Genomic DNA, 12,670 nt, shown 5'->3' with positions numbered 1-12,670 from the left:
TCTGCAGTTAAAGATCTCCTGAATTCAGTGTGCCCAGAAACCAGACTCACAATAAGTACTCTAGGATAACAAGAGTATGAACTCTGGGCTGGGTGTGGTGGTTCATGCCTGTAATCCCAGCACTTTGGGAGGCCAAGGTGGGCAGATCACAAGGTCAGGAATTTGAGACCAGCCTGGCCAACATACTGAAACCCCGTCTCTACTAAAAATACAAAAAAACTAGCTGGGCATGGTAGTGGGTGCCTGTAATCCTAGCTACTCGGGAGGCTGAGACAGGAGAATTGCTTGAACCCGGGAGGTGGAGGTTGCAGTGAGCCGAGATCACGCCGTTACACTCCAGCCCGGGTGACAGTGTGAGACTGTATCTTAAAAAAAAAAAAAGTATGAACTCTGGGCATAGATTTAATTCTAACTTCCCTGTCTTGAAGCTGTGCGCACTTGGGGAAGTTGGTTGATATTATGTGTATCTGTTTCTGTCTGTATCCCAGACTACTAATAACAGTCCAAACCTCACAAGGTTATTTAAAGACAATGAAATAAGGCATCTAAAATGCCAAGCACAGTGCCTGATGCTGGCATTGGTTGTTCAATAAGCAGACACTATTACGAGTTCTAAATTAATATTTTCATTATTATTAACTGCTGTCTTTGGCTCTCACTCCCATCAGTGCACTAGCAAATGAGACCAAACTTCCACTTTGAAGCTAGCAATGAGCCCCCATTTAAGGAGGGAAATAGGTTGTATGATCTGGAGCTTATTCTTGAATTTTTTGCTACCCAAAGTGTGGTCTGGTCAGAAATACAGCTTCTCATGCTTCACCCACAATCTACTGAATCAGAAGCGCATTTTAGCAAGACCTCATGTGACTTGTATGCACATTCAACTTTGCAGAGCAAGGCAGTAATTTACCCCTCCAGGCTCACTGTTGAGCACGAGCTCCATCTTCTAATTTCCTGACCCCCACTTGAGGCCGAGGATCTTTGATCTGCTTTGAGTCTGTCAGTTTCACATTTTTTTTTTCCCAATGCCTGGGCATCCATCTCTGAGATTCTTCTTCTCTCTGAGAAGAACTTGTCTAGGATCAAGTGTTTTTCAAACTTCTGGTGAATTTATATAACAGCTACATTTTCTTAAGAAACACCTTGTAGTCTTCACTGGTCAAAGAAGAGAAGGCTAAGCAGGGAACGGGTGGGGGATAGAGGATCTTCTAATCTTGAGGATCCTGGCATACTGGAGAATAGGGACCCCTCCTCTCATCCCACCACATCTTACTATGTCTACAGATTTTTTAATTAAGAATAGCTTTAGGAGTGCCACTATCCCTGACAAGACCTTAGTTCTTTAATCTCTGCTTAGAGGAATTAGCCTGGACTTCAGTGTCTCCCTGTTCCTCACCTGGAGCATTTTTTAGGCCCATCCTGGCTGCATCAGACAGGTCCCACATTGGGAACTGAAAGGTGTTTGACATTGCTGACATCTCACTGGCCATTTTATTACTAAACTCTCAGGATATGGTAAATGGAATAATGCTCAGTGTTGAGAAGCTGATTAAAGATTTGAAATCCAAAGAAGTCCCGGAAGCCAGAGCCTACCTCCGCATCTTGGGAGAGGAGCTTGGTTTTGCCAGTCTCCATGACCTCCAGCTCCTGGGAAAGCTGCTTCTGATGGGTGCCCGCACTCTGCAGGGGATCCCCCAGATGGTAAGTCAGCAGGCCCCACTGGGGGCCCATGAGACCAGACGTTGGTTTTTTTTTAGATCGCCCAGACTCCCTTACGATCCCAGCTGCACAAGCCCGAAAAGATGCTTGTACTTTCTTCAGAGATGGAGGTTTGCCTTGAATTTCACTGAAGATGACTCTTGGATCACATGGAAATGTTAACATTTAGAAATTAAGCTATTCATAATGTTAGCTGTATTTTTAAGAGCATTAATTTATTCATCTGGAAAACAATGTTCGGTATACCTTCCTCTACCTTTGCTGAAGGTCCTTTTATTTTTATTTTTATTTTTTTAATTTTTTGAGATGGAGTCTTGCTCCCAGGCTGGAGTGCAGTGATACAATCTCGGCTCACTGCAACTCTGCCTTCCGGGTTCAAGCAATTCTCCTGCCTCAGCCTCCCAAGTAGCTGGGACTGTGGACGTGCACCAGCATGCCCGGCTAATTTGTGTATCTTTAGTAGAGACAAGCCTGTTGACAACCATGTCAGGCTGGTTTCGAACTCCTGACCTCAAGTGATCCTCCAGCCTGGGCCTCCCACAGTGCTGGAATAACAGGTGTGAGCCACTGCACCTGACCTGAAGGTCCTTTTAAGATTGAAATGATACAATGATTATAAAAGAAAGTATTTGGCAAACTATAATTCACTATCTAAATATGCTATAATTTTTATTATTAATTCATAAAAGGAAATATATAAATGTACTCCTATGGCTTGATTAAAAAAATGTTGACTTTAAGAAAACAGGTCTCAAGCTATTTTATTGAAATATTATTTAAAAAATAAAACCCAATGCAAATTGATATGTACATCATCTCAATAGGCCTTTGGTTTCAAAAAATTGATTTTATCATAATATAATACATTTCAAGTACACCTTCACTTACAGTCAGACTCCAGAACACCAGAATTAAGCCATGGCATATATGATACTTAAAGTCCATAAAGCTCTGAGGCCCAGCAATATTCTTAAGAGCCTTCTGAGTCCACTTGAAAATGACATGATATCTATCTAGTGAAATTTCTTATATCCTGATTCACTGAAAACGGTAAAAACATCAGTTTGATCTTTATTTATCAAACTATTCAGCTCATCAAAATATGCTAGTCCTTCCTTTCCAGATAAAGAGGAATTACTCTCCAATGTATGGGAGGTTGTAATTAACAAAACCGACTTTAAAAAGACTTACTTTTATTTGCTCTCCCTTGTTGGGTCTACAGATTGGAGAGGTCATCAGGAAGGGCTCAAAGAATGACTTTTTTCTTCACTACATCTTCATGGAGAATGCCTTTGAACTCCCCACTGGAGCTGGATTACAGTTGCAAATATCTTCATCTGGAGTCATTGCTCCCGGAGCCAAGGCTGGAGTAAAACTGGAAGTAGCCAACGTAAGATTCTGTTTGCCTTTTGATTTCTTAGGTTATTACTTTCTTCCAGGGTGCATTTCTTGTTAAAACATATTTAAAAATGTGTTTCCACTTCAAGACAAAATGCTTCATCATTGTAATCACCTCATTATTTTTTTATGAAAAACTTCAAGCTTCCACCAGAATGCACTACCTCACTAGCTCCAGTAGTGGTATGGCCATAAGACAAGAACTCAGTTCTCTCAACAAATGAGTATTCCTATCATCTTTTTAATCTGGTTTTGCCTCACGTTAACTCAGGTGCTTTCTAGTTCTGGGTAGTATACTCCAACTCTAGAGAACTGAGAACTCGCTTTCCTTCTTCCAAACAAATCCCAGTAATGTTTCCAAAGGTCTGAGTTATCCAGGAAATCTTTGCCCGGAGGTGAGAAAGGGTGGTTGATCTGACTGACAGGGGACTGAAGTATTTAATGAATCTGAATAGGTTGTTTTCTGACTTATAGATGCAGGCTGAACTGGTGGCAAAACCCTCCGTGTCTGTGGAGTTTGTGACAAATATGGGCATCATCATTCCGGACTTCGCTAGGAGTGGGGTCCAGATGAACACCAACTTCTTCCACGAGTCGGGTCTGGAGGCTCATGTTGCCCTAAAAGCTGGGAAGCTGAAGTTTATCATTCCTTCCCCAAAGAGACCAGTCAAGCTGCTCAGTGGAGGGTAATTCTTTCAGCCAAGTCTGCCTAGCCAGTTTGAAAGAGAGAACAGAGAATGTACCTGCAGAATTTTGCCAGGCTAAACAGTTGATTGAGATCATTCAGGTCCTGAGGAAGCAGGAGAGGAGTAGAAAGGAAAGATTCCGGGTTACCTATTTTAATTCTAGCCTAGACTTACTACATAACTACATAATTACCTTTCTTCTACTTTTCACATTTTACTAAACTGTCCTTTATCTTTCTGCTTTGAGACTTATTAAGACCTACTGCTTAATTAGTTTTTATTAAGTTGTGATTTTTTGTTATCTATTTGTTTTGAGAATGAAGAAACAATAGCTCTGGAGAGATCATCTTTGGAAAATTAATATTTTCCCCCCCAAAAAATACCTAAGAACATATTGATTTGAGGTAGCTAGGTAGGTAAAGCATGAAACTCCTAACCTCGTGATAATGGAATACAGCCTCTTTTGGAGAGTTCCATTTTAAGTGGCACCCTCAACCATTGATTTGCCTTAGTTTTCATATTTTAGACACATTCATGTGTTCATTCAAAAATAATATTTAATTGGCCAGCCACGGTGGTTCATGCCTGTAATCCTAGCACTTTGGGAGCCCCAGGTGGATGGATCGCTTGAGCCCTGGTGTTTGGATACCAGCCTGGGCAACATGGCAAAACCCCATCTCTACAAAAAAAATTAAATAAATAACAAAATTAGCCAGTCGTGGTGGCACATGCCTGTAGCTCCAGCTACTCAGAAGGCTGAGATGGGAGGATCAACTGAGCCCAAGAGTTCAAGCCTTCAGTGAACCATGCTTGCACCACTGCACTCCAGCCTGGGAGACAGAGCAAGATCCTGTCTCACAAAAAACAAAAAATAGTATATTTAATTGCCTAATATATACCACGTATGTTGAGTGAGACACACAAGGTCCCTGACCTTTGAACGCTTACATTTTATAAGGGAGACACACAATTAAGCAAGCAGTAATCATAGAGTAAGGGCTAAGTTATAGAAAGTATTAGAGTACCATGAAATTTTATATCATGTAGCCTGTGCTAGTCAGGGAATGCATTCTGAAGCAAGTGTACTTGACCTGATAACTGAGGACTGTGTCAGAGTCATTTAGGCAAAGGAGAAAGGAGTGAGTGTTCCAGGCAAAAGGAAAAGCATGTAATGGCCTGAAGGTAAAGGAATATGGTTCAAGGAACTGGAAGAAGTGCAGAATGGTAAGGGGCTCAGAGATGATGGGGAGAGGTAGGCAGGGGAGAGAGCATGCCCAGCTGCGAAAGCCATCCTAAGGAGTTTGGACTCTTTTGAAGGCACAGGAGTTGAAAAGGGGAGCAGAAATAAGATAGGGGTGATGTTTTAGAAGAAATACTCTGACTCTAGTGTGGAAGATGGGTGAGAAGGAGGCACAGCTGGACACGAAGAGACCATTGGACATCTCTTACGATCCTATGTGGCTAAGAGCTGATAATGGCCTGCAGTGGAGAAAAGCCAGGTATAGAAAGGAGTGAGCAGATTCTACAACTTTCTAAGAGGCAGAATCATAAGTACTGGGTGATTAACTGGGTATGGGGACAAGGCAAAAGAAAGAAGAAAAGAGGAAGGAGGCGCCCTTCATTTTAATAAGAACTACAGTGGGAGAGCTTCTGGTTTCAAGGAAAGTGACAAATTCAGTTTTGGATGTGCTGTATTTGATGTCCTCCTATGAAACAACCAGTTTAGAAATCTAGCTGTCAAATAGACCTATGGATCTGAGCCCAGTAAAGAGGCTTGGGCTCCACATATGGATTTGGGAATCATTAGTATACAGAGGTTGTTGTGGTTAAACAGCAACTGGTATAGAGTGAGACATGAGAGATGAGGACAGAAATATGGAGAAGACAAACATATAAAGGAAGAAGGGGAATAACCAGCAATGAGTTAGAAGAAGTGACCAGAGAAGCAGAAGGAGAACCAAAGCCATAAAAGGTCACAGAAGCCAAAGAGCAGCCACAGGGGAGATCACCCCATGGGTAGGCGAAAGCTGGCATTAGGACTCCAGCACATCAGCAAAGCTTGGTCTTGTGGCACCCCCAACTTGGAGAAACAATACTTGGAGGAAAATGTGCTATTTCAAAGAAAGCATCCTTAGAAAAAACCAGGCCAATGTTGAACTTTCTTACATGTACTAAGTTTTTAAGTACACACTTGGAAGGAAGGTGCCATCATCTCTTCAGATGTGAGAGGCTCCAGCGTCTTAGTCTGGTCATGAGTGCGCAACTCTATGGAAGGCTTCTGGGAGGTCAAGGAAGATGAAACCTAAATATGCCCATTGGATGTAGGAGCAAGGAGGGCATTAGAGACATTGATGAAAGCATTTTCAGGAGATGGAGTGAGCAGTCAGAGCACATTGGGAGGAAGTAGAGACTGCAAAGGCAGACAACTCTTGATGGTGAGGAAGATGAGAAAGCAAGAAAAGAAAGAAAGGAGCATAGGGGAGGGGCACAGGGGAAGAGACTTGAGCGTGCTTAATGCAGGTGGAAGGAAGCAGGTAGAGAGTAGGAGATTTCATATGAAAGAGACAGTTTCTCTTGCCCTGCATTGTAGGAAGGAAGGGGCACACTGAAGTTCAGCCCCAGTGATCAGCTATTTAACATCTCTGAGCCTCTGCTTCTGTAAAATGAGAACCATAAGCCTACTGTTGTGGGGATTACAGGTAACAGATGGAAAGAACTCAGCCAGAAGCTTCAGAGTCACTCTCATGGCTTGTCATGTTGATGTTCTTTCTAATATTATTTGTTTCTCAGTAAATTAAATAGTTAGAGATAGGTGTGGACTGAGGGAAGACAGGAGGATAAGGGGGTATTTGCACCCTGAGAATTTGTGATGTCCATTTTGATTCATGACTTGGCAATAACTCAGGTATTTTTGTTCTTCACCAGCAACACATTACATTTGGTCTCTACCACCAAAACGGAGGTGATCCCACCTCTCATTGAGAACAGGCAGTCCTGGTCAGTTTGCAAGCAAGTCTTTCCTGGCCTGAATTACTGCACCTCAGGCGCTTACTCCAACGCCAGCTCCACAGACTCCGCCTCCTACTATCCGCTGACCGGGGACACCAGGTTAGAGATGCTCAGTGCCTGACCCAGCATTTTCTCACCTTCCACATCATGGCCACCTAGCATGGCACAGGAAAAAATACTCTGTGTTGTAAGACCCTGTCACTAGCCTTCTGGGTTTGCACCATCTTTGGGTATTTAAAGCAGGGTCCTCTGGCCAACACATTGGGTGTCACCTTTTGCTTCCTTGTGCATGGGATGGGATCACAGCACAGATCCCAATTTGCTCCTAATTCAGTGTCCATGTTTCTGAGCCTCCAGACCCATCGCTATGAGCTTCCTGGAGCCCACCAATGTGCTTGAAGCCTTCACCGTACTTAGGTGGCTCCCTGTCTTCAGCCCCCAAGTTCCAGTGCTTGTTCTCAGCTTTGCTGAAACAACCAGCCAACTCCTGCTCTGCTTGTCCAAAGTCTTGGGAATCCTGGTGTCTGCCCTTGCCTTGGGTTCTTGTAGGACTGAGGGATCAAAAAGATCATCTTAGTTAAGGGCAAGAGACAATGTTAAAATAAGGACCATATTTTTGTTGCATTTGAGGCTGAATTGTTTTGGGAACATAATCACCATCCTTGAAAGCTCTAACATTATGCACTGTCTTCATTGTAATGTCTTTAGATTAGAGCTGGAACTGAGGCCTACAGGAGAGATTGAGCAGTATTCTGTCAGCGCAACCTATGAGCTCCAGAGAGAGGACAGAGCCTTGGTGGATACCCTGAAGTTTGTAACTCAAGCAGAAGGTGAGTATTCAAAACACAGCTGCCTCATCTCTGCTCGCAGTCTCAGGTTCAGAATTCATGAGGAGAAGACATGTAATTTAACCTATTTAACAAATAGGTTAACTGAGTACCCACTAAGCGGCAGGCCTATTCTAAGACCTGGGTTAACTGAGTACCCAATAAGCGGCAGGCCTATTCTAAGACCTGGGGCTAGAACAGTGAACAATGGAGTCTCTGCCTTCATGGAAGTTACAGTGAACAACCAAACAAGTTAATATTTGGAATATCAGATAAGTACTGAGGAGGAAAACAGAGCGTAGACTGGTCTATGGAGGGCTAGGAGTAGGAGGGAGGAAGAAGGGCAGGGAAAGCAGTGCATTTGGAATAATAAGGGAAAGTCTCCCTGGTAAAGTGAGCATAAGGAGACCTATCAGAAATAAGAGGAGAAGCCGTGTGGTAAGACTGTTAACAGGCAGAGGGACCAGCAAGTGCAAAGGCCCTGAGGCTGACACACTACTACCATGTTTCAAGGAAAGGAAGGAAGACAGTATGGCTGGAGCAGAAAGACCAGGGAGAAAAGAGGTAGAAGATGAGGACAGAGAGATATGGAGAGGTGAAGGAAGGATAATCTCATAGGCCATGGTAAGAACTTTGGCTTTTTCTATGAATTAAACGAAAGCCATTGGGGAGTCCTCATGATTTGATTTATGTTTATGTTGAGAAAAGACTATGGGCAGACAAGGGCAGAGAAACTAATATGTAGGTTATCACAATAATCCAGGCAGGAATCAGTGTTGTTTTGGATCAGGGCAATGGCAGAAGAGATATGAGAAGGGGATGGATTCTGGCCATATTTTGAAGATTAGGCTGACAAGATTTGCTGATACAGTGGATGTTGAGTGTAAGAGGAAAAGGGGAATGAAGACAAACCTAAGGTTTTTGGCCCGGGCAACTGAAAAATGGAACTTCCATTTATTGAGATGGAAAGGGCTACTGGAGGAGCAGGTTTTAGGGAATGGGAGAAATTTAGGTGTTCACTTTGGAAAAAAAATTATATAGGGATAGCGAGGAGCAGGTTTTAGGGAATGGGGCACATTTAGGTGTTCACTTTGGAAAAATTTTTATATAGGGATAGCATATCACAGAATTAAACTAGGAAGAAAATCCCATGATAGAAAGCACTGGAGGAGCAGGGCACGCTGGGGAAATAGTGTTTGGTAAACATTGTTTTACGAAGGATATAAAATGGACCAGCCTATGGATTGAAGGACGCCCGGGAATCTTGTTACAAAGAAAGGGGGAGTTGGGGAGATGGAGCCCAGGGCAAGGGCAGCAAGGAACCAGGACAGGCATCTTGGGTAGAAAGTAATATAGAGATGTCGTGTCTTCCTGGCCCAGAAGGGCTGCGAGCCTTTGCTGTTCCACAAACAAGCTAAGTGCTCCCCATTTCAGGGCCTTTGCATTCCTGACCTTCTGCCTGGAATGTGCTCCTCCCAGAACTCAGCGTGGCTCCAACCTCTTTTCATTCTGGTCTCTGCCCACATGTGCCCTTATCAGAGAGAATTTCTCTGACCACCAAGTATGAAATAACACTTCTTCTATCCCTTTCTTTTATCCTTGTATCCAGTTTTACTCTTCTTCATAACATTCATTACCATCTGACATGAGCAAGTTACTTGTTTATTGCCTGTACACCTCCCCCACTAGAAGGTAAGCCCCATGAAAGCAAGGATTCCCCAGTACCAAGAGCAGTGCCCAGCACACAATAGGCTCATAACAGGCAATCCATAAAGACTTGCATACATGAACACAACTGAGTTTAAAATTATCAGTAAATGAGACCCATTAAAAAATTTTAATGAGAAAAAAAAAATTCAGTAAAATCCTGAACTGTGTTTTTGTTTAAGCACATTGATTCCTTGGAGTTTCTCTACCTTTTCCTCTCTTTCCTTCCAAAACATAGCTTCTTTATTTATTTATTTATTTATTTGTTTGTTTATTTATTTATTTATTTATTTATTTATTTTTTGAGATGGAGTCTCGCTCTTTTGCCCAGGCTGCAGTGCAGTGGTGCCATCTCGGCTCACTGCAAGCCCCGCCTCCCGGGTTCATGCCATTCTCCTGCCTCAGCCTCCTGAGTAGCTGGGACTACAGGCACCCACCAACGCGCCCGGCTAATTTTTTGTATTTTTAGTAGAGACGGGGTTTCACCATGTTAGCCAGAATGGTCTTGATCTCCTGACCTCATGATCTGCCCGCCTTGGCCTCCCAAAGTGCTGGGATTACAGGTGTGAGCCACCGCACCCGGCCCAAAACATAGCTTCTTACCACACATCTCTTGATTCTCTTATACACTCGTCCAGGTGCGAAGCAGACTGAGGCTACCATGACATTCAAATATAATCGGCAGAGTATGACCTTGTCCAGTGAAGTCCAAATTCCGGATTTTGATGTTGACCTCGGAACAATCCTCAGAGTTAATGATGAATCTACTGAGGGCAAAACGTCTTACAGACTCACCCTGGACATTCAGAACAAGAAAATTACTGAGGTCGCCCTCATGGGCCACCTAAGGTAAAGAAGGCCGAGGGTCATCTGACCTGCACTGCAGGCCTGGGTGGTTCTTTTCATTATTCCTCTTCCACTTCATACCTGACCAAGCCATGTTCTCCCCTAGTCTACAATCAGAGTGGCAGAGAGAGCCCTCAACAATTTTTTTTTTTTTTGAGATGGAGTCTCACTCTGTCACCAGGCTGGAGTGCAGTGGCACAATCTCGGCTCACTGCAACCTCCGCCTCCCGAGTTCAAGTGATTCTCCTGCTTAAGCCTCCCAAGGAGCTGGAACTATAGGTGCATGCCACCACACCCAGCTAATTTTTATATTTTTAGTAGAGACAGGGTTTCACCATATTGACCAGGATGGTCTCGATCTCCTGACCTCGTGATCCACCTGCCTTGGCCTCCCAAAGTGCTGGGATTACAGGTGTAAGCCACTGCACCCGGCCAAGCTCTCAACATTTTAACCCTCTGCGCATGTCCAGTTGGATTTTCCTACCATTTATCAGGCACTTACTATTCATGTATCAAGCACAGTGCTGGGTGCTTTAAAGAAATTATCTCGGTCCTCACAATAAACTGCGAGGTCACTGTGAGTTTTCCTGTTTCATGGATAAGGAAATGGTAGCTCAGAGGGGTTAAATCATTTGGTCAAAATCACAGAGCTAGTAAATAGCAGAGCAGGATTCAAACAGTTTTCAAAAAACTTCTCTTTCTCCTAAACCTGTTTGCAAAGTCCTTAATTTGTGCTGAATGTTGGCTTTAGAAGTTGATGAGTTTGATCTGTGGCTGTTTCTCTGAACCATCCTTGTATCTGGTTTTGATCACCACAAATGGAACTTCTGTTTAATCCTGCATATCTCCATTGAAAGGACAAAATCATTGGTGCCAACTGATTTTCTTTACCATAGTTGTGACACAAAGGAAGAAAGAAAAATCAAGGGTGTTATTTCCATACCCCGTTTGCAAGCAGAAGCCAGAAGTGAGATCCTCGCCCACTGGTCGCCTGCCAAACTGCTTCTCCAAATGGACTCATCTGCTACAGCTTATGGCTCCACAGTTTCCAAGAGGGTGGCATGGCATTATGGTATGTGTCTCTTCCCCTGTGTGAGCACTTCCAAAGTAATGCAGGTGTTGAGACCTGTGGTTACAGGCTGAACTAGTACCATTCACAACTATTTCCTACGTATTTTCAGATGAAGAGAAGATTGAATTTGAATGGAACACAGGCACCAATGTAGATACCAAAAAAATGACTTCCAATTTCCCTGTGGATCTCTCCGATTATCCTAAGAGCTTGCATATGTATGCTAATAGACTCCTGGATCACAGAGTCCCTCAAACAGACATGACTTTCCGGCACGTGGGTTCCAAATTAATAGTTGTAAGTATGAGTCTGCCAGTCAATAAATACATGGATATAAGTGCTAATTACATCCTCAACTCTGAGCTAGGTGCAGGAAGGTTTCCAAAGATGTATAAGGCATGCTTCCTTCCCCCCAGGGAATTCTTGGGGAGAAAAAAAAACTTTCACAAGTGTGTAGTTACCCAGTTACACAAAGCTGAATGTGATACATATCAAAGAGATGCTACTAAGTAGAACAGTTCTTTGCCTAGTGGTATCAAAGGAAGCTTCAGGACACCAGCTAGGAGGCTGACTATGTTAGACATTCCTTTTATAAATATGGACAGTGATCAGTGACTGGCAACGAAGATTCATAATTTTCTGTTATTTATTTTTAACTTTCAGTGCATTGTCCAGCTTAATAATTAACTTGTCAAATCGGTATTTTTGCCTAATGTTCATTGCTCTTTGAGGCTCATCCAAGCCCATTACCTTAAAAATCTCCTGTCATTTTGTAGGCAATGAGCTCATGGCTTCAGAAGGCATCTGGGAGTCTTCCTTATACCCAGACTTTGCAAGACCACCTCAATAGCCTGAAGGAGTTCAACCTCCAGAACATGGGATTGCCAGACTTCCACATCCCAGAAAACCTCTTCTTAAAAAGGTAAAAGAAGAAAGCAGCAAGGCTTCTTGAACCATGCAAAGTAAATGAAAGATTTTACATAGCATGATTTAGACATTTTTTTAAATTTTTAAAGGAAATAATTTAAGCATTTTAAGGAGATTAATAACTATAGCACAAACACTGTGGCATCTTTGCATTAGTAAACATGAGAACACCAACCCTGTCAGGAAGAATCTAAGAAAGTCATTAGAGGATTCTGGTACTTTCACCCTAAGATATTTTATTCAGTACAACCTGTTATAAGCAAATTCTCCCTCTGACTGTGAAGAATTCAGAATGGCTAGAGGCGTTATTGACTACAGGCTTGCTGTTAAGCTAGAGAGAGTCAGAACAGCCATTGAGCACTAAATGGAGGCAGCATTCTGAGAAAATACTTTAACCCAGGCTTACTGACTTCCATACCTATGTTCTTTCCACAAATCAAGTTGTCTCAATTCAGTTTAGCAAATTTGTATCAAGTATC

At 42.9% G+C, this 12,670-nt stretch overlaps 1 protein-coding gene across 1 annotated transcript in view; it reads left to right on the top strand.

The window, feature by feature from the left end:
- APOB (apolipoprotein B) overlaps window positions 1-12,670 on the top strand; it is a 42,645-nt gene that overhangs the window by 17,440 nt on the left and 12,535 nt on the right. The window contains exons 16-24 of the mRNA NM_000384.3: window positions 1,510-1,701; window positions 2,942-3,109; window positions 3,592-3,803; window positions 6,729-6,911; window positions 7,521-7,642; window positions 9,985-10,195; window positions 11,089-11,264; window positions 11,374-11,561; window positions 12,041-12,186. Of these exons, the coding sequence (NP_000375.3) occupies window positions 1,510-1,701; window positions 2,942-3,109; window positions 3,592-3,803; window positions 6,729-6,911; window positions 7,521-7,642; window positions 9,985-10,195; window positions 11,089-11,264; window positions 11,374-11,561; window positions 12,041-12,186 (1,598 nt within the window). The remainder of the gene's footprint in view (window positions 1-1,509; window positions 1,702-2,941; window positions 3,110-3,591; window positions 3,804-6,728; window positions 6,912-7,520; window positions 7,643-9,984; window positions 10,196-11,088; window positions 11,265-11,373; window positions 11,562-12,040; window positions 12,187-12,670) is intronic.

Source organism: Homo sapiens, chromosome 2 (assembly GCF_000001405.40).
Source record: "Homo sapiens chromosome 2, GRCh38.p14 Primary Assembly".
Classification (NCBI taxonomy): Eukaryota; Metazoa; Chordata; class Mammalia; order Primates; family Hominidae; genus Homo; species Homo sapiens.
Note: the sequence above shows the minus strand (reverse complement) of the source record. Positions and strands in the feature narration are given on the sequence as shown.